Here is a 22,708-nt window from a genome sequence, read left to right as displayed (position 1 = left end):
TTCACTTTTTAAACTTTTATGATTATATGTTCTGTTTTTTCAGGTTGTCTAGTAATTTGCTGCCATTCTTTTCCCTTAATATATATATATTTTTTTAGGTAAATAGATTGTTGCCGTAATAAGACTCTCAGCTGCCTGAATTATAGTGGTTTCAAGCCACTTAGATTTATTTGAAACCTCCTCTAACTTGAATCTTTTTAGTGAGTCTTACCATCTTTGCCTCCAATGAGGGGAGTATCCAGTTTAGATTTATGAGCTTCAGAATTTCTCTAATTGAAGTTCTCTCTGCAGTAGAGAGAGCAGGAGCAGCCAATGTGGAGAGGTCGCAAGATGGGGCTGCCCAAGATGTTGGAACACCATGTGCAATAAAGGGCTTCGTCTTGGATTTTGGCCTTATTACCACAACCAGGTACCGAAGTGCTGACTTTTGTAGTAGATTTTCTTTTTTCATTTTCATTTTTTTTTTAAGTTTTGCCCTTTGAAGGTCAAGGAATCCTATTTTTATAAATATTGCAGATGAGACTGAAAACATTTCTCCTAATATAGTCCATAATCCCCATAAGTTCCCTATTTAACAAGGAAAGATATTGCTGAGAGCAGAATCAACATGCTCTATCATTTTTTTAGTTTAGAAAAATGCAGCAAATTTTCTCTTTTGATAGACCAACAAGCATTTCTGAGAAATAAGCCAGAAATTTGGGGGAAAACTGTCCCAGTTTTGTAAGGGTGTCTTTTTAACATTCATATTAGTTAAAGTGGATCAAATTTGTATGTCAACAGACAGTATCCAGTCTAAATAGTTAATAAAAGAAAATATCTTGAAATATTCCCTGCTGATTTTTGTCCTCCAATTAATTTTTTAAAATGGAGCTGAAATTTAAATGACTGTACCAACAACTTACCTTGATACTTACTTTGAGATTTAAAAAATAACCACTTTTTAAGAACATTTCAGATTATGATTAAATTAGATATTAAACGCTTCAACCACATAAGAATATTGAGGACTGTTGAATGAGTCCTGTGCTCTGGTGGTCCTGGAACTTAATTTTATTTATGAATTTTCAGTCATTAGAGAAGAGTATGGTGTGGATATGGGAGGTTGGATTAGCCGACTAAACTTTGAAGTTTGCAACTTTAGCAGATGTTGGGATAGAAGTTAACACAGTAGTTCAAATTGATTTCGCACTTCATGGTTTATAGAAATGCTTTCACATTCATATCTGAATATTTGAAACAACCTAGTGGGTAGGTAGGTAAGCAATTTTATCTGTGTTTCCCATGGAAGAAACTGAGGCTGGGAGATGTTCATTGTTTGTTATCCAAGGTCATATAGCTAGTAAGTAGAAGAGTCCAGATGCAAACCCAGGCCACCTGAACAATGTTCACATCATTTTACCATGGAGAAGAGATTAGTGCTTTTATTTGTCTAACACTCTGGTCAGTGAAATTAAAGTATCTCCGTGTGAAACAGCATGCAAAAGGCTTTGTTTCTAATATTTTTAACAAATCCCTTTAGATCGTTGGGAATTAAACAAATACCTAGGGCAGTGTGGACTTACCTGAAGTCTTTTGACATTTTATGAAGTTCTGTTAAACCTAGAAATAAAGTCAAATAAATTTTTTATTGCTTTAGAGACATAGTTATTGGAAGTTATTTATAGTTTAAATATGTAGCCATAATAATTATTCGTGACTATATTTCAAGATAGTTTATTCAGCAAGCACTTACTGAGAACCTACCATGTACTGGGCACTGTGTTCTTAAAAGGACTAATTGATGAGCTCAGTCTAGTGGGGGAGATGAGTAAACCAGCAATTATAATACAGAGTACTACTTGAGTAGAGGTACGCATAGGGAAAACCCTGTAATAGAGGGAGCACTGTCTGTGTTACCTAATGCAGACTTGAGGTAATTCGAAAAGGCATGTTAAGCCATGTGATGCTTGAGTACAATCTTGAAAGCATGTTAATACTTAACTTGGTAAGAACATTTTAAGCGAATAACAGCCTATGCAAATACACAGAGGCATTTGAGAATGCGGCACTTAGAGGGAGCTACAAATAGATTGACATGGCAAGAGTATGCACTGACTGTTAAGGGATGGAAGGAGTTGAGACCAGAGAGAGAGAGACATGATTAGGATTGTGAAGAGCCTTAGATGACATGCTTTTAAAAAGTTAGTACTTTTTCCTAAAGATAATTGGGAGTCATTGGTGAATTTTAATAGGGAAATGCTTGCTATCCATTTATGTTTGCAAAGATTACATAATAGTGTGGAGGATGGAATTGGTGGTGCAGGATATGAGATTGGAAGCAAGAATACCAGTTAGTTACGATAGTAACCATGTCATAAATGCTCCACGTCCAAACTGGTACTGACATTAGAGAGAAAAGAAAGAAATTTGAGAAATAATTAGAAGGTTGAGATTTAACTAGTCTTGGTGAGAGAGAGAGATAGTCTTCAGATGTGGTTTGGACAAATGGGTGGATGGCGATGCTGGTCAAAGCCAATACATGGTTGAAAAAGCCGGTTTCTGTGGCTAGAGGGTGTTGATGAGCTCAGTTTGAGATATTTTGAGTTGAAGGTACCTGTGGGAATTTACGGTTAGAAATAACTGTTAGGAGGCTGGGCATGGTGTCTCACATCTGTAATCCCAGCAGTTTGGAGGCTGAGGTGAACAGATTGCTTGAGATCAGGAATTTTGAGACCAGCCTGGTCAAAGTGGTGAAACCCCATGTCTACTAAAAATTCAAAAATTAGCTGACATGGTGGCGGGCGCCTGTAATCCCAGCTGCTTGGGATGCTGGCTTGAACCTGGGAGGTGGAGTTTGCACTGAGCCAAGATCACGTCACTCACTCCAGCCTGGGCGACAGAGCAAGTCTCAATAAAGAAAAAAAGAAAAAAAAAAAAAGAACTCTTAGGAATTGAATGTATGGATCCAAGTTTGAGAGATGTGTCTAGGTTGGAGATGCAGAAGTTGAACCCATTAATGCAGGAGATGCGGAGATGCAGAAGATGGAACCAGCAATAGCAGTGGAAAAGAGATGAAACTAAGGGTGGAATCTTGTGATGCATCCACAAGTAAGTATGATGAACATGGGAAAAGACCAAAAAGAAAGGCAGGCAGAAGAAAGACTAGAAGTTTTCTGCATTTTAAGAATGAAGTGTTTATTTTATCCATATGAAGGATCCAGTAAGTAAGGATGGGAAAGTGGTAGGTTTATCAATTAGGAATTGAATTGGAGACATGATCAAGATTAGTGCTTTGCAAACCGTGGACAGGTAAATACTATTGTAAATTATGCCTTTTCTTTAGAACCTTGCTACTAAAAGTTTGCTCTATGTATGAATTTGGCACCACCAGGGAGCTTGCTAGGAGTGTAGACTGGGCTCTTACCCAGATTTTCTGAATCAGAATCTGCATTTTTAAAAGGTGATTCATATGCACATTAAACTTTGAGAAGCTTTAGAACTCAGCTCCTCTAAGCAGGAGAAAGTAAAATGTAGATTTTGTGCAAGAAAAATGAAAACTTCTGTTATTTTTATATTTTTAAATTATTGTGGTGGCTAAAGCTAGGATCCACATATAGGGTTTTCTTTTAACATTCTAGAAAACTCAAATGTTCTAATACCAGAGCAGAAAAATTTATATGTCCATTGAAACAGTAAGCTGATCCTTGTTTGATTACTTAACTCTTAGCAGTTGATACAGGATAACTTTATAAAGTTGAGTTTCCTTCCTTCCTCCCTTCCCCTTCCCCTCCCTTCCCTTCCTTTCTTTCTCCTTTCTTTGATGAGGTCTCGCTCTGTGGCCCAGGCTGAAGTGTGATCATGAAGTGTGATCATGGCTCACTGAGGCCTTGAACTCCTAGGCTCTAGTAGTCTTTCTACTGTTTCTTACTCCACTGTACCCCAGTACATAAACTTCAGGAAGTGGTGGAACTCAACTTGTTCTTCGCTTTCAGGTGCTATTTCCAGTGCCTCAGCCTCTAGAGTAGCTAGGACTACGGGTGTGTACTATTACAATTGGCTAATTTAAAAATTTTTTTATAGAGCCAGAGTCTCACTATGTCGTCTAGGCTAGTCTTGAGCACCTGGTCTCAACGGATTCTCCTGCTTTGGCCTCCTAGCATGTTCGGATTACAGGTGTGAGCACTAGCTTTGCTTATAGTCTGCATTTTCTGGTGATGCTGATGTTGCTAGTAAATGGACCACCAAGGCCATATAGGTCTCAAAATCTGTACATAAATTGCAAGCGCAAATAATAACAAACACTAAAAATACAGTGAAGTTAAAAGGGAATTGTTTTCAATATCACCTCTGAGATCTTCTGGCAACTAAGTAATTGAAGGATGTACATGGAGAGGAGTGTGTGTTATGTGTTTGCTGGGGGTAGGGAAGATTGGCAAATCTGCATGTTTTAAGTATCTTTTTCAAAAATTTTCATATATAATTTTGAGGTTTCACTGAGAATCAAAGCTTTTTAACTTTAGGTAGTTTTATTTCTTATATTACTTTTATTACTCTATAAAATGATAATGTTCTGTAGCATTGGCGTGTATAATTTTAGTGTCTACGGTTCCAGAGAAAAACAAAAAATGTTATTCCCTCGTTGTGTGTTGGGACAAGGCCTTATATGGGCTTGTTATATGCACTCTGATCTTTGATTGATTAACATTTTATAATGAATTGGTAATACTAATAAGAATAGAACTAGTAGAGTAGTATATAGCTTGGGAAATAGCTCAGAAACCCTTAAGGAACTGTATGCATTATTAGTGTGTTATAGAAAAGGAGAAATAAACATTTTAAGTAGCAGGTTTTATAAAATAAAATGGCATAAATAAAAATGGTAGGCTTGATTCTTTTTTTTTTCCTCTTATTTTAAGTACTCACTTTGACCCAGTCACACTGTTTTTTCACTATATATTTTAAAGTAGGAATGCCTTTCTATTCACAAGGCACAAGGTTAGGAAGATCGCTGGCTAATTTTTTCCTTTCTGTGTTTTAAAAAGTCAGCTTGAATAGGCTTCTTCCTGAAACGTGAGTTCTGTGGAATAATCCACACCCGCTCTCAACCCCCATACACAGGGTTTTCCACATAGTGCTTTTTTAGCTTGGTGTTCTCCTGAGTTATTAACAGATTTATAATTGTCCTTTGTAGAAGCTCTATGTATTGGGGACACAGTTGAGCTTACTTAATTCAGAAATTCATACAGGATAACTGTGAAGTTGAGTTTCTAATTTAAACACTACATATGTATTGACAGCAGTATATATATTCAAAGATAATTGTTTAACATTTTATAGATATTATAAAGAGAATAAATTTTATGCAAAACTATTATTTTTTTTAATAGGCATATTTCTCTTTGATGCCACATCCTTCTCCCCTCCCCACTTTGCCTTCTGATTTTACCAAAGACTGTGTTTTTCCTGTTGGCGTTATGTCTCCTGCTTCCATGGCAGCTTTAGTTTTTTCTGTTCTTTGGTCTCGTACTTACCTCCCTCCAGTCCTCCCAATTCTGTTTGTTCCTCCACTGTGCTCCAGTACATAAACTCCGGAAAGCTGTAGAATTCAACTTGTTCTTTGTTTTCAGTTGCTATTTCCAGGCCAGAGTTTCCCAAACTTGCCAGATCCTAAGAATAATTTGGGGTTGCTAGTTCAAATATACATTAGACTCTCAGGTTCCTCTTCTGGAAATTTTGGTTCATGAGGTCTGGAGTGAGGCATGAAATAAGTACCTTGACCGACTTGATTCCTATGATCAGGCAAGTTTAAGAAACACTGTTTTAAACCATATACCATCTACCATTACTCTAGTTCCTTTCATTTGACCTGTAGATAGCATCTTTTTAGAATTTCAGAGCATCATAAACTAAGAGATAATCTTATCTGACCTCTACAAAGTGCAAATTTTAAAAAATCATGTTTTGATTGGCCATCACTGGGGACTTTGTCTCTTCATGACATTTTATAATGCTTCCCATTGGGTTGTCAACATTGCCTGGGAAGCCTACTTCTTTTCTTTGTTTAGCTTGTTTACCTGTTCTTCATAAATACTATTTAAACTTTATCTGTATACATCTTTTCCTCATTCTCTCCTGTTACAGTAGAGAAGATATTCTATCTCCTCCTCAAAGGCTAATTTGTCAGGCTAATTTGTCTACTTGTGTTATGAATACCATCCCTTAGCCTGCTAAGGTTTTTAAAAAACTGTTGTCAAATATACACAAAATTTACCATTTTAACCATTTTAAAGTGTATAATTCTGTGGCATTGGGTATATATATTGTTCTATTACCACTACCGTTTCCAGAACTTTTTCCTCATACCAAACAGAAACTCTATACCCATTAGGTTAGGATCTTTGATGTCAGTTACCCGCTACTACCCCTCCAACCTTTCCCTTCTCCATTCCCACTCCCCACGTAACTAAAAGTATAAAATATATTAAGCGAATTTCTGCTTCGTGTCTTTCCCCCGCTTTTTTTTTCTCTAAATAAACTTTTCCTTTCTCCCTAGAAGTAAATCTTTATTCTGAATTTGTGGCTTATCATGTCGTTTTATCTTTTAACATTTTACTAATACCAAATGAACATAAAAACAATACTTGTACCTTTGTATTTTAAAACTACAGTGTATTGTGTGTATCATTCTGCAGGTTATTTTTGTTCAACATTGTTTTTGAAGATTATTTTGATACATCTAACTCTACATTAATTTTAACCATTATATTTGGTATTTTGTTGGGCAGCTGTATCACTGTTTTTGAACACTTTACTTTTCCTCTGCTCTCAAACAACAGCAATCAACACAGAAGACTTCTTTGCCCAAATGTGGGAGATTTCTCCCCCACAACAAGCAAGCAATCAGTTCTTCAGCAGACACCAGCTGGGTGTCATCCAATTCAATTCCGACACTACCCAGAGTCAGTTTTGGATCCCAGATAGAGGGCTCAGTCCCCAGGACTGGCCTCTCCTTCCCACCAGTCACAAGTCCAGGCCTCTGGAACTTCTGACCAACTGGCTTCAAGTTGGGGTTCCCACGATCCCCTCTTTGAGTTCAGTGGATTTGCTAGAGTAGCTCAGAGAACTCAGGGAAATACTTATGTTTATGGGTTTAGTGTGATGGATATGTTAAAGGGTGCAAATAAACAGCCATATGAAGAGATACACAGGGCATGGTCTGGAAGGGTCCCGAGCACAGGAGCTTCTTTCCCCGTAGAGTTGGGGTATGCCACCCTCCCAGCAAATGTATGAGTTCCTGTTGATCTTCCTGTCTGCTTCCACATGTTCAGCTATCCAGATGCTCTCAGAACCTCTTCAGTTTTTATGAAGCCTTCATTATGTAGGCTTGATTGATTAAGCCAGTGGCCGTTGGTGGTCAGCTTGACCTTTAGCACCCCTCCCTGGAGGTTGGGGGTAGGGCTGACCGTCCAACCCTCTAATTGTACCTTTATTTTTCAGGTGACCAGCCCCGCCCTAAAGCTGTTAGTCAATATTAGCATACAAAAATAGAGCTATTTGGAGATAACAAGGAGTTTAGGAGCCCTACCTCAGGAAATAGGGATGAAGACCAGATACATATTGCACAATATCACACTCACTATTTATTCTCCTATTCTTGGACATTGAGGTTGTTTACAGTTTTATAATATTATGGTGTTACAGTAAGCATTTGTGTAAATGTCTTTTTTTGGGTCGGGGTGGGGGCAAGGTAGAGGGTCTTCCTGTGTTTTCCAGGTTGATGTCAAACTCCTGGCCAAGGGATCTTCCTATTTTGATAGGTCTTTTTATCCACGCATGTATCCTGGGGTTTCTATTTGTCCTTTCTCCTGTCTGGCATTCCATGACTCTTGCCTGAATTCAGTAGCTCAATTCTCACATCTGAAGAATTTTTCTTTAACTGTAACATTTGATTGATGGGTCATTTTTCTTAGCTTTATAAAGGCATTGCTTCAGTGCCTTTAAACTTACAGTGTTGCTGTTGAGAAATCCAATGCCATAATGATTCCTGATTTTTTTTAGCTGTTCTGCTTTTTTCTCTCTGGAAGCTTTCAGAATTTCTACTACAGAATGTCTGAGTACCAAGGATAATGTGCCTTGAGATGGATCATTTTTCTTTAAAAAAAATTACTATGAAATATTTCAGACGCAGATATAAAGAATAATAACAATCACTCTGGCCCAAGAAATAAAACATCATCAGTGCAGTTGAACCCTACCCCCCACCACCCTTTTTTATGTGGAAATCCATCCTTTATGGAGTTTTTTCTTGTATTACTTGTTAATTTTCTTTCTCAGTTATCGTTTTTTTCTGAAACTTTTATTAATTGTATATTAGGCCTCCCGATTCAACCTCAATTTTCTTATCTTTCCTATTATATTTTTCATTGTCTTTTTTCCTGCTTTCTGGGGGTAGATTTAACTAGCTTCTTAATGTTGATTAATGTCAGCTGTAATGTTTTCAGTTTGAGAGCTTGTTCTTGTTCTCTGTCCCTTTTTTAATAACTTCCTATTGTTTCATGGATACAATACCTTTTTTCATCTCTCTGATACTAATTATACTTGTTTTTAAGTTTTCTTTTATACTCTTAAGTTGTTCAAGTTCTTTTTTATTTTTATTTTAGTCTTCTGGTTATGTTTTCATCAAACATGGTGATCTGTTCATATTGAAACATGAGTCGTTATAAAACATTAGAAACTCAGTGAACACGTGGGTGGGATTTGTCATTTGAAGACTGGATAGGGAATGTGGTCATATTGTGAGAAAAGCTCTAAATATTAGTGTTTAAAGATATTGTTTCTTGGGCCTTTAGTTTCTACAGCTAAAAATCTACCACATTTTTGTCAGGGGATGGAGTAGGTTACACACCTGTCTGCTAGAATTCTTGGAAGGAGGTAGGCGATTGCATTGTTAAATAACTGGGATTTTGCTTAATTCCCTGCTTCCAGTGTAATGGTTCTCTCCCTTGCTTGTGCCTTGTATCCTTGTGTCTGTAGTCATTTAGTTCACTTTTACCACAAATAAGGTGAGGAAAAAGGAGCATGGGATAGGAAGGTAGAATGTAAGTGGAAGGGTCTCACTGACTCAAGCAGATTTTAAACCCACCTTTTTTGTTTTTAGTTGCATGCTTTGTTCTTGCCTTCTATAAAAGTTAGCCAGAGTTCTCAGTTTGCAAATTTCCCTGTACATTTTTCACCTTCCAAAAACATTTTGATAGCTTGTATCTGTAGTTTTTACTTCTGTTCTCTTTGACTATCTGGGATTTTAGCCTTGATATTTTATTCTCACTTGAGTGGGATTTTGACAAGGAATAGAAAAAAATCATACATCCAGTCTACCATGTTTAAACAGCAGTCCTCTTCACCTTTTCATCTTTATCAGATTCTTCCTATTAGTGTTGAAACATGATCACACAAAAGAGGACTTAAATGGAAACATATATTACTGTGTTCCTGGGGAAGAAGAATCAATATCAGAATGACAATTTCTCCTAAGTTATAAATTGAACACCATCCCAATAAAATAGAAATAGTTGTTTTTTGAGACAACCAAGCAGATATTGAAGTTTATATGCAAAAATAAGTAGGCAAGAACAGCCAGAAAAGAAAAAGTAACGATGGAGGAGTGCCTTACCTGGTACCAATATATTCTAAAGATTTAATTATTAAATCAGTGTAATTAGTTTATGAGCTCTGTTCAGCAAGATAGAAAATTTAGAAATAGACTACAGGCACTCACCACCACGCCCGGCTAATTTTTTGTATTTTTTTAGTAGAGATAGGGTTTCACCATGTTGCCCAGGCTGGTCTTGAACTCCTGGACTCAAGTGATCCGCCTGCCTTGGCCTCCCAAAGTGCTGGGATTACAGGTGTGTGCCACAGTACCTGGCCCCCAAACAATGGCTTAAAACAACGCAAATTTAGTTTCTTACAGTTCTGAAGGCTCTGAGGGAAAAAAATCAAGTTTTTGCCTTTTTTAGCTTCTTGTGTCTTACATTTCCTAGCTTGTGGCCCCTTCCTCCATCTTCAAAGTATATTACCCCAGGCTATGCTTCTATCATCACATCGCCTTCTCAAATATCTCTTTGCCTCAGTCTTTAAAAGACACGTGTTATTACATTTAAGCCCACCTGGATAATCCAGGAGACTCTCCCCATCTCAGGATCCTTAATTTATTCACATCTGCAGAGTCCATTTTGCCATAAGGTAACATTCACAGATTCTGGGGATTAGGTTCTAGGGGTTAGGTTCTTTGGAAGCCGTTTTTCAACCTATCACATACTTCTGGCTCATCATGTCCAAAACAGTGAAACCTGATCCTCCTCCAGAAGAGAGAGTAGTTGCTCTTTCAGGTTCCAAAGTACAGAACCTGGTAGTCATCTTTCATACTTCTTTCTCTTATCTATCATATCCAATCTTTGTCCACATCTTGACAATTTTATCTCCTGTATAATTTTCAGATCTCTTTGTTTTTCTTTTAAAAAGAAGTCCCTATTTAAAATCAAGTTATTAGCTTAGCCTAACATTTCTTATTTGGCATATTATAGAATACTCCTAGCTGATCTCTTTACTTTTTGTGCCCCTCTGAGAAAACTAAACAAACAAAAAACCAAAGGCAAATTGGGTAACTTTCCTTCTTTTCAGATCCTTTAGTGGCTTTCCAGAATCCTTGATGTGATCTTCTAGGCTCTCCATAATCCAGCTACAGCTGATTTTTCCAGTCTCATCTTTATTTTTCTCTTTTGCTTTCTGTGTTTATTATCATTAGCTTTCTTTTAGATCTTGGAAAGGGCAATGCTTAAGAGATTTTGTTTCCCTCTGAACTTGTTCTTCAGATTTGAGCTCAATGTTACTTCAAGGAATACTTTATTCCCCGGATCAGGATCCCATGTTCTTTTTCATAGTGTCATACATCTTACATTCTGAAGATCAAAGTTTATAATTAAATGTTTATTTAGATTAGTGTCTGCCTCTCCTTACTAGACTGTAAGCTTCAAGTGGCCAGGAATAGGTCTGGTTTGCTATACCTGTGTTGAGTACAGTGGCATAAAATATATGTTTATGTGCTATGTAGTGACGTTTCAGTCAATGACAGACTGCATATGTAACGCTGACTCCATAAGATTATAATGGAGCTGAAAAATTCCTATCACTTACTATATTTACTATACCTTTTATCATTATTTTAGAACATACTTCTACTTATTAAAAAAAAGTTAACTGTAAAACACCCTCAGACAGATCTTTCAGGAGATATTACAGAAGAAGGCTTTGTTATCATAGCAGATGATAGCTCCGTGAGTGTTATTGCCCCTGAAGACTTTTCAGCAGGACAAGATGTGGAGATGAAAGACAGTGATATTAATCATTCCAACCCTGTTGTAGGCATAGGCCAATGTGTGCATTTGTATCTTTGTTTTTAACAAAAAAGGTTTAAAAAAAGTAAAAAAAAAAGTTTTTAAGTAGAAAATACCTTACAGAATAAGGACGTAAAGAAAGTATTTTTGTATAGCTGTACAATGTGTTTTAAACTATGTGTTATTACAAGAGTCAAAGAATTAAAAAACTCATAAAGTTTATAAAAATTACAGTAAGCTAAAGTTAATTTATTATTGAAGAAAGAAAAATTTTAAAAATCAGTGTAACCTAAGTGTACACTGTTTATAAAGTCTACAGTAGTGTACAGCAGTGTCCTAGGCCTTCACATTCACTCACCACTCACTCACTGACCCATAACAACTCCCTATTCTGCAAGCATGGGAAGTTAAATGTGTTTAGATACATAAAAACTTACCATTGTGTTTCAGGTATCTACGGCAGGGGTCCTCAACTGTACTGGTCCCCCAGTACTGGTCTGTGGCCTGTTAAAAACCTGGCTGCAGCAAGCTATAATAGCATTGCTGCTTGAGCTCCGCCTCCTGTCAGATAACCTGCAGCATTCGATTCTCATAGGAGTGTGAACTCTGTTGTGAATTGTGCATGCGAGGGATCTAGGTTGCACACTTCTTATGAGAATATGACTAATGCCTGATGATCTGAGGTGGGTCAGTTTCATCCAGAACCATGCCTGCCAACCCCCTGCCCTTTTCCGTGGAAAAATTGTCTTCCACAAAACCAGTCCCTCATGCCAAAAAGATTGGGGACCACTGGACTACAGTATTCAGTACAATAACATGCTGTAAGTTTTGTAGCCTAGGAGCAATAGGCTATGTCATATAGCCTAGGTGTGTAGTAGGCTATACCACTTAGATTTGTGTAAGTACAAGCTGTGATGTTCTCAACCACAAATTGCCTAATGACATTTCTCAGAATGTATTTCTGTCATTAGGTGACACATGACTGTACAATAAACTTGTGGTAAATGAATGACACCTGCTTTCCTGTAACTCATGTTACAGGCCTCCAAGTATTTGAAGACTGTTGTGTCCCTCCTTTAATCTTTTCAAGTTAAATACTTTTGAAATACTTTTGATTTCTTGCATTCTTCCTCCATTTTGTATGGTTTGCAAGTCCCTAATCACTTTAAATGTTCTATTTTGGGTGTGCCCTAGTTATAGATATTTTTTAGGCCAGATCGGGAGATCACACCCCAGATGATATCTCTGTGCAATGCAGAATATTGCCTCCCTCATTACAAAGTATACAAGGTATAGGCTAAAAAACCATAACAATGAGGACCAATGTGCAGTGGCTAGAACAAAAGTTTGTCTCTTGTTTAGCAGTCCCGAGGTAAGCAACTCTGTTCCTTGTTGTCATCCAGGATGCTAGTTTCCTTCTGTCTTTAATTTTTGTCGTTCCTACTGGTGTTGTCATGTGCATGATTGAGACTAGCTCTTTACCACTCTGTGTTGCAGCCCTCAAAAGAGAAAAAGGAAGTGGAGGGCAAGCCACTTCCTTATAAAGGTATGCCCTGAAGATTGCATATGTAACTTATGTGACTGTCTCATTGGCCCAAACTTAGGCACAGGCCGCATTTAGCTGTCAGGGAGCCTAGCTTATTGGCCATATGCCCAGGAAATTTTCTTACTAAAAAGAAGGAATACTTTGCTTGTTTGGCATTAGTTTCCTACAGTTGGTGAATGTTTTTTTGTTTTATCTATTTTTTTCTCTCTTTTTTTTTTTCTTGTCAGCCTTTTCAGGTTGAAAGTTGGTGCATGTTGAATTTGTGGTCATAACTGCTGTTCATTGTTATGCTGTTAATTATTTAAATGTATCACAAACATTTGCATTTATTAAATTTTTAAATGCAAGTGATAGACTGGTAATCAGCAGTTCTTCTTCTCCCCCTCCACCCCTTTTTTTTCTTTTTGCCAGAGTTTGTGGTTGATTACTTCATTTCTAGCCTTAACATACAGAAATTCAACAAATATTTATGACTACATACCAGGCACTTTGTATTACAGATATATAATATTGAATAATACAGATTGTTCTCTTTCACAAAGTTTGTATTCAAACATATTGCTTGATTTCTTTTGTGAGTGGTTTAAATTGGGGGTTGGCAAACTTTTTCTATTAAGGACCAGATAGTATTTTCTGCCCTGTGGCCTAAAATTTATGTAAATAATTCAAACAACCCAATAACAACAACAACGAAATAATCTGATTTAAAAGTGGGCAAAAGACCTAAATAGACATTCTGAAATTTGAAGACATACAACAGGTATATGAAAAAATGTTCAACATAATTCATCATCAGGGAAATGGAAGTCAGAACTACAATTAGATATCACCTCACCCCAGTTCTGGCTGTTAACAAAAAGACAAAAAATAAATGCTGGTGAGGATATGGAAAAAGGAGAACTTTTATACAGTTAATGTCAATCTAAATTAGTACAGACATTATGGTCAACAGTGTGGATGTTCCTTAAAAAATTAAAAATAGAACGACCACATGACCAAGCAATTCCACTTCTTGGTATATGTCCAACTCAAGGAAATTTAATCAGTATGTTGAAGATCTGCATTTCCATGTTTATTGCAGCACTATTCATAACAGCCAGTTTGTTTTTCTTAAAAAATAGTTGTCCTTGACCATTTTTGAAACGTTATTCTTACATCATTTTAATTGCATTACTTCTTAACTCATCCTTTCACAATTTCTTTAGCTAACTCTTCCTCCTGTCTGTCAAATATCTGTTTTCCTTTAAGTGCAGTTCTTGGTTCTGTCTCTTTCTATTCTTTCTCTCAAGTCTTAGTCACTTAAAAAATTATATGTTATAGACAATTTCCAAATCTATGCATCTATTCCTTACCTTTTTTGATCTAGTTATAACTCCAAATCTAACTTACCTAAAATCTGTAAATGTTATGTACTTTCGTTCTTTGAGCTTGAAACCTTATTTTGAGTCATTTTATACCATCAAGGAAATATAGGAGTTGTAAAGGTGGACAATAACATGTGAAAACTTGTGGAGGCAGCAGAAATTATTTAGAATTTGCGAAATGTATATTTAGAATGTGGCAAATGTGGAGAATGTGGCAAATCTTGGTCTGTTATTCCCTTGGAATAATAGATCAGGAGGGGCTTTGTCTTCCTTAAAAAGGATTTTCTAGTTTGATGCTACAGGTAATATGGAGCTACTAAAGGATTTAAAATGGGAAGGTTGAATGATAAGATGTTTTTTCCTAGATTATTTGTAGCAGTATGTAGGATGGCTCTTGGGGATAGGAATCCTGAAGCAAGGATACTGGTTAAGAGGTTTTACAATTAGGTGAGAAATGATAATTTCCTGAATTAAGGCAGTGGTACTGCAGATTTAGTTAGAAGGATAGATTTTGATTTAAGTGATGAGGAAGAGGGATTTATCAATTCCTGATTTAGGACCTGAGAAAATGAATATTATTAACCGGCGAAGTACATACAGAAGGAGAAAAAGAAGGTTTGGGAGGGGAAGGGAACCTTACAAAAAAACGAGCTCTGTTTTGTAGGTATTAAATTTGAGGGTGTCTGTGGGCTGCCCAGGAGGCATTTGTATGTTAAGATCTGAATCTGAGGCAGAGTTTTAAGTTAGAGATGTAGATATGGAATGTAGTAGGGTACAGGTGGTAGTTAAATCTGTAGTATAATTGAAACCACCCACAGATAATATGTGGAATGAAAACTGGGCCAACTCTGCAACAACCACGTTTTGGAGAGGAGGAAGCCTGGAAAGGGAAATCAAGAAAGCAGGTGATTGCAAAGCATTCCTTGAATTTGGTTGTGAAGAGGTCATCAGTGATTTGTTTCAGGGGAGTGGTATGGGCAGAAGCCTGATTGCAATGATATGAGATGTGAATAAAAGGTGAGGTGAGGCAATAGAGACAGGTACTACAGACTAGTATTACAGAAGTAGGATTCTTATGTGAAAAAGGTATATATATCTTGGTGCTTTTGATGGCAAGTTGCAGGATAGTCAATTTTAAAATGGGCTTAAATGATGAAAGAGATTTATTGGCCTATGGAATGGAAAAGTCCAGAGGTGGGATGGATAGTTTGAATGTTTCAGGCCTGGGGTTTGCAGGCAGGGCTGGTGGAAGGACTGGGATAGAGGATGAGAGTGTGTTTATGAGAGAGGGATAAACCTTGAGGTTTAGACTAGATATGGAAGCAGCTGAAAGAAGGAGGGGACTGATACTGAGAAAAAAACGTAGGTCACAGAAAGCTAGAGGTCTAATTTCATGTAAGTAAAGGAATGAAAACAGGAAGGTTGTGGTTTACTAATAAGGGCTTTCTCTAGCTAGGCTAAGTTAGCTACAGTTATCCAAATAGGCTTTATACATTGCAGCTTTCAAAATCCAGTCCTAGTATTTTGTAGCATAGTTGTTTACTTGATGGCTCTTCTGCCAGGAAATAAAAATTGAACATTGTTAATTCTTTGTCACTCATGGATACAACATTGGTACTCACACAAAGGTGTGAACCTGAAGATCCTCGTAAGATGAGAAGCTTTTCTTTGTGTATATATGAAAATAAACATGTTGGTCTTGGCGAAATTATGAGGTCGCTATATTTTGTGGTCATACCCTTTCTTTGTCTTCTGTTGCTCCCGCCTTCCTCTTTTTTAGGTTTACTTTTTATTCTCTTTGCAAATAGGAAAAGATGCTTCATATTTATTCATGTCACATGTTGATTATTCTAGGTGTTTACCTTTCTAAGTTGTCTTCAAGTTCAGTGCTGTTGAGTTTAGTGGTGTTTGAATTAGGTAAACTTGGAGTGGTGTGATATAAGAATATTAATTCAGTCTCACTTTGTGTGTAAAATTTAAAGTAGTATGAATTCCTTCAAATTAATAATGCATTGAGTTGTATAATCTCAGGCCAAGTAAATTGAAAACTGCCACATGGCAGTGTACTTCTTTAGGATTGGTCTTGAGTTTTGGCTGCTTTAAATTAGGATAGGTCTTAAGAGTCACTTCTGGCTGGGAAAAAGATTTTAAAAAGATCATGATAGGTCTTTAGGACATTTGTCCCATAAAATGCCTGTATAGAGAGAAAGCCTTTCTTAGTAAAGGAATTTCTGAGACTGGGAATAGTTGGGAGAGGTGTTTGGGGGAGACTGATATTTCTTTTTTTTTTTTTGAGACGGAGTCTTGCCCTGTCGCCCAGGCTGGAGTGCAGTGGCACGATCTTGGCTCACTGCAAACTCCGCCTCCCATGTTCAAGCAGTTCTCTGCCTCAGCCTCCCGAGTATCTGGGACTACAGGCATGCACCACCGTGCCTGGCTAATTTTTGTATTTTTAGTAGAGACGGGATTTCACCATCTCGGCCAGGCTGGTCTTGAGCTCCTGACATCATGATACACCTGCTTTGGCCTCCCAAAGTGCTGGGATTACAGGCATGCACCACCGTGCCTGGCCGAGACTGATAATTTCTTATTACCCCTAAAAGCATATGATTCCTAGAAATGTTGCTGAAGGTTAAATCTACTTTAGTTGTTTTAGAGTGCTTAGAAAGGTTAGAATAATGATTTAAAAAGACTTACCTTTCTTCCCCTTCCTTATCTCTATATCCCATGATGAGCCTTTGTTCCATGCTGCCACCCCTGGCTTTTTATGGCATGATGATCATACCAAACTTATGGAAAGTAATTCATATGAATATATATAAAGTAATTCTGGCCTGGGTGGCTGCTGCTTAAGAATCATCTAAAGTGATCTTGGGGGGAGGATTTGTAAGGAATTAAAAAATCCCTACCCCTGCTATTTGAGAACAAGATCTACAGCCTTTTTTTCTGTGTATATATGTGTGGGTGATGTTAAATTGTCTATGGAAAAAAATTGATTCTAAAAATGCTGCTAAAGAACAAATGGTGAAGAATTGTGGTAAGATATCCTAGATGGTCATTTATGTAGACTGTTTCCTATTAAGGCAAAATAGGTGGTATTTAAAACATGACAGTAGATTCTTTAAATTTTTTTTAATGTTCATTAAAGAGCCATTTTATATAAAGGTACAGCTATATGTTAGGCTTTTAAATTTAATCTGCATTTTAACAGAGGTAGAAAATGCTAGGTAACTGATCTGAAGTGGAAATTCTGGTTAAATACAGCATTTCTAGTCTAGTCCATTGCTATGTACAGGATCCATCTCTCTATCCTTGAGAAACTCTAAATTGGAGATTACATAAGATAAGAACATACATGAAATGACTAGAGGAATAGTATCAGATTGTATGGAATTAATGATAGATTCCATTCAGATGCTAGATAGGATGCTCTGGGCTGCATATTTATGTAGGATATGTCCTAAATTCACTGGAGAGTTGATATAGAGAAAATATATGTTGCTCATAGGTAACATTAGACTTCAGAGAAGGGAGAGATCATGGAGTGTGACCAGAAAGACTTCTGGAAAAAAAGAGCTTTTGAACTGCTCTTTGAAAGATGGATACGATTTGGGTTGACAGAAAAGAGGACATTCCAGATTGGGCAGATTCAAGAGAAAAATCACTGGAGGTAGAAATAAGTTTGTCATAAGTTGAGTAGAGAAAAAGATTGGGGCCAGGCTTGGTGGCTCACACCTGTACTCCTAAAACTTTGGGAGGCCAAGGCGGGTGGATCACTTGAGGTCAGGAGTTCAAGACCAGCCTGGCCAACGTGTTGAAACCCCATCTCTACTAAAAAAATACAAAAATTAGCCAGGCATGGTGGCGCACACCTGTAATTCCAGCTACTTGGGAGGCTGAGGGAGGAGAATTGCTTGAATTGGGAGGTGGAGGTTGCAGTGAGCTGAGATCATGCCATTGCACTCCAGCCTGTGGGACAAAGAGTGAAACTCCATCTCAAAAAAAAGGAAAAAAAAAAAAAAAAGATTGGCCTGTCTTGGTAACAGTGAGCCTCGTATCCTGGTATCTGGGCTAAAGTGAAGACTTTGAAGCTAGGGAGTACAAAATGAACATGGAAGATTAATATGACTATGGTCTTTTTTTCTCCCTGCCCTGATGATTTTACTTTTATATGTTTTTTTCTTAAATAAAGATCACACTCTAAAATATTACAAAGTTAAAAAAATCATTTTTAGAGAAGTTTAAGTATTAAATAGATATTAATGTCTTCAATGTTTCTTTGAGATCTTCAGGTTAAATCACACATTGAAATTTGCTTGTGGCATATGTATTAGTGTATTTGTCAGTGTGCTTGGGTGCCTCTCTGACTTTATTCAAGGTATTGACCATTCAGTTCTTAGTTTGTAGAAGAAATGGCAACGTTGGAAACAATAACCTATTTTAATTCTTTAATTATATTATAGTTGTACCTCAGTCCATTTTTCCCTCTTTTGTTTTATCTTAGGTCAACAGGACATACTGCTGTGGCACCTACCGAGCAGGTCCTATGCGGCAGATAAGTCTCGTTGGAGCAGTAGATGAAGAAGTTGGTGATTATTTCCCAGAGTTCCTTGATATGTTAGAAGAATCACCATTTCTGAAAGTGAGTGTTAATTAAGATTATTAAAGTTTTGATCTTTACTTAAGTGGGCACTTTATATGTTGAAGAGTATTTAGCTAATATTGCCTATTGAAATTAAATTTATCCAGTGTTTTGCACAGAAATGTTTAGATAGAATAATATTAGTACAAAGTACTTAAATTCAATTATTCTTTTTAATATAAATTACTATGTAAATAGCATTTATTTCTTTATATACAGTTGTAAAAAAGCCTTCTTAGAACTTTTATTTGGGTGGGAGGATTAACTTATAAATCATTGAAACAATTTTTTAATGTGACTAATCCGTCTGATTTCTAGATGACTTTGCCCTGGGGTACACTTTCTAGCCTCCGACTCCAGTGTAGGTCCCAGAGTGATGATGGGCCTATAATGTGGGTAAGGCCAGGAGAACAGATGATCCCTACAGCAGATATGCCAAAGTCACCCTTCAAAAGACGACGGTAAATATTTCTTTTTCTCAAATAAGCAAAACTACTTTTTTTTAGTTGGTTGCTTATAAAAATGAGCACAGTTTGAAAACCATTTGTCTTGGGCTCCCTTAAGTAAATGTTTTAGTTGTCGGTTCCTCTTTTCAGTCCAATCATCACAGTTATCACAGTGAGGCATTTTTCTAAAACACAAATTTAATTTTTACTTATTTTTTAAAAACCTGTGCCCTAACTGCCTGCAGGATAAAAGATCAAACCCCTTAGTGTGGTTTACATTAATAATCAGGTCAACTGTACCTCTTCTAGATGTATCTGTGTTTAGTCTTCTCCGGCCATACCGAATTCACTTTCCAAACCATAGTCTATCATAACTCTTTGCTTTTGCACTATTTTTTTTTTTTTTTTTTTTTTGAGATAGGGTCTCACTCTGTTGCCCAGAGCTAGAGTGCAGTGGTACAATCATAGCTCACTGTATTCTTGAACTTCTGGTCTCAGGAGAGCCTCCCAAGTAACTGTGGCTATAGGTGTGTACCACCATGCCCATCTGATTAAAAAAATTGTTTTGTGTATTTTATTTTTGTAGAGATGGGGTCTCACCATATTGCCCAGGTTGGCTTTGAACTCCTGGCCTCAAATGATCCTCCTGCCTCAGCCTCCCAAAGTGCTGGGGTTACCGTCCCACAGCAAACTTAATACATTTTCAAAACTTAGCTTGAGCTGGGCACAGTGGCATATGCCTTTAGTCCTAGCTACCTGGTAGGCTGAAGTAGGAGGATCAGTTGAGCCCAGGACTCCACGACAAGATCCTGACTCAAACCCAAACCAAAACCAAACAAAACTTAACTTGGACGTCACCTCCTTTGTGAAGTTTTTCTTTCCTTCCTTAGGTAATTAATTGTTCCCTACAATGTTCTGTTCATTAAAGTTTTGTTTACATGTTTTTATTTTCTACTAACATTTGAGGTGTGCTTTGGGAAGACAGGGACTATTTTATTCATCTTTGTCCTCATGACATATACTAGGTAACCAGTATTTGCTACATGAAACCAATAATGTTCTATAGGACCGAGCCTCAGTAATTCATATTGTGCTAACATGTTTTGTGTTTCAGACTTTGAAGACAAATGTAGATTAACTCACTCTCTAGTACTTTGAAAAATCTAATTTAATGAGACTGAAAATGATCTATACCTGCTTAGACTACGAAAATAGCAATTCAAAATAAGTGCCCAGAAGTGAGTTTTAATGGACTAATCTAAACCTTAACTTAAGGCTCATAGGAGAATGATACTTGAGCTAAGTATGGAATAATCTTAGGTACTTGAAATGTATGAAAATACTTTGAAAACATTATGTACGATGCAGGGTGGTGGCATGGTAAAAACCCAGGAGTCATTTGAAAGTTCTGCACATTGCTAGATTATAGCAGTTTTTGTTGCAGGATGATGACGAATCTTGAAATCTTATTAAATTGTTAAATACTATATACATTTTTTGTTCTGTAATCTTTCCTCAAAAAATGACCATCATTTGTTTCCTGATTTTTATAAACTTAAGAAAAAAGTAATAGGAAAGAGTAAAAAGAGGGCAGGTGCAGTGGCTCACACCTGTAATCCCAGAACTTTGGGAGGCTGAGGCAGGCAGATTGCTTGAGTCCAGGAGTTCAAGACCAGCCTGGGCAACATGACAAAACCCTGTCTCTAGTAAAAATACAAAAATTAGTGTGGTGGCACGCTCCTGTAATCCTAGTTACTGAGGTGGTTGAGGCATGAGAATCGCTTGAACTCAGGAGGCCGAGGTCGCAGTGAGCTGAGATGGTGCTTCTGCACTCCAGCCTGGACGACAGAGTAAGACTCATCTCAAAAAGAAAAAAAAAAAGAAGAGTAGAAAGAAGGCAGGCTGGGCATGGTGGCTCACACCTGTAATCCCAGCACTTTGGGAGGCCAAGGCAGGCGGATCACCTGAGGTCAGGAGTTCGAGACCATCCTGGTCAACATGGTGAAACCCCATCTCTACTAAAAATACAAAAATTAGCTGGGCATGGTGGCAGCCGCCTGTTATCCCAGCTACTCGGGAGGCTGAGGCAGGAGAATTGCTTGAACCTGGGAGGCGAAGGTTGCAGTGAGCCGAGATTGTGCCACTCCACTCAAGCCTGGGGGACAAGAGCAAGACTTCATCTCCAAAAAAAAAAAAAAGGTAGCCACCATTTAGGCATATTAACCTTTCAAATTATATATAGCCATAAATAATCTTTTTACAAAATCCATTCTTTGTGTGATGTTTACTTTAAAACTTGGGAATTTTTACTGTATGGTTGTATCAAGATTTATTTAACCAATTCTTGGTTTTTGTTTTTGTTTTTTCTTTGAGACAGGGTCTTACTCTGTCACCTAGGCTGGAGTGCAGTGGCATGATCAGGGCTCACTGTAGCCCATCTCCCAGGCTCAAGTGATCCTCCCACCTCAGCCCCACCAAGTATCTGGGACTACAGGTGCCTGCCACCATGCCTGGCTAGTTGTTTTTTGTTGTTGTTGTTGTTGTTTTTGAGACAGAGTCTTGCTCTGTCACCCAGGCTGGAGTGCGGTGGTGCGATCTCGGCTCACTGCAAGCCCCTCCTCCCGGGTTCACACCATTCTCCTGCTTCAGCCTCCCAAGTAGCTGGGACTACAGCCTCCCGCTATGATGCCCGGCTAATTTTTTTTTTTATTTTTAGTAGAGATGGGGTTTCAACGTGTTAGCCAGGATGGTCTCGATCTCCTGACCTCGTGATCCACCCGCCTCGGCCTCCCAAAGTGCTGGGATTACAGGCGTGAGCCACCGTGCCTGGCCTGTTGTTTTTTTTAATTTTAATTAAAAAAGAGTTGGCCCTCACCAACTCTTTATTAGTGTAATTTTTTCCCAGGTTTTCAATGTAAACAGTATTTTGAAAACATGATACTGGTGTGCTGGAGCCAGTTTGTACCTGTTCACAAAGGCCATCATTAGCATCACTTTCCAGTTCCACATTGCGTGATGTCACGTTAGTAACTGGAAATCATTCGTGTTAGGTGTATTTATACCATAGAAATCAGCAAATCAGCTAAAATCAGCCACCTCCCCTGACCCTCAAGTCAGATGTAAAGTATATAGAGCATACCACTGATTGTATATGGATGGAAGTTTGGTAGATATGTATGTTTGTGCATATGCGTGTTTGTTTTCTTTTTTTTTAATATTTTTTGAGATGGAGTCTCACTGTGTTGCCAGGCTGGGGTGCAGTGGCGCGATCTCGGCTCACTGCAACCTCCGCCTCCCGGATTCAAATGATTCTCCTGCCTCAGCCTCCCGAGTAGCTG

General features: G+C 37.7%; 1 protein-coding gene across 3 annotated transcripts in view, besides 2 other annotated features; it reads left to right on the top strand.

Annotated features, from left to right (window-relative positions):
- Positions 1–22,708, top strand: part of RSBN1 (round spermatid basic protein 1) — a 50,645-nt gene that overhangs the window by 15,882 nt on the left and 12,055 nt on the right. The window contains exons 3-5 of one of the 3 annotated variants that reach the window (NR_130896.2): positions 292–409; positions 18,787–18,924; positions 19,243–19,385. Coding sequence is in view for 2 of the 3 variants with exons in the window: in NM_018364.5 (NP_060834.2) it covers positions 18,787–18,924; positions 19,243–19,385 (281 nt within the window). In the remaining variant the exon portion in view is untranslated. The other 2 variants (NM_018364.5, XM_017001518.3) reach the window with 2 other exon arrangements.
- Positions 15,615–15,724: a silencer, noted in NCBI's record as "silent region_1216". NCBI's record gives its function as "represses an Ori minimal core promoter by ATAC-STARR-seq in GM12878 lymphoblastoid cells {active_cell/tissue: GM12878}" and the evidence as "EXISTENCE:reporter gene assay evidence [ECO:0000049][PMID:35858748]".
- Positions 15,835–15,884: an enhancer, noted in NCBI's record as "active region_1533". NCBI's record gives its function as "activates an Ori minimal core promoter by ATAC-STARR-seq in GM12878 lymphoblastoid cells {active_cell/tissue: GM12878}" and the evidence as "EXISTENCE:reporter gene assay evidence [ECO:0000049][PMID:35858748]".

Source organism: Homo sapiens, chromosome 1 (genome assembly GCF_000001405.40).
Source record: "Homo sapiens chromosome 1, GRCh38.p14 Primary Assembly".
Lineage (NCBI taxonomy): Eukaryota > Metazoa > Chordata > Mammalia > Primates > Hominidae > Homo > Homo sapiens.
This window is presented reverse-complemented; position numbering and strand designations above follow the sequence as displayed.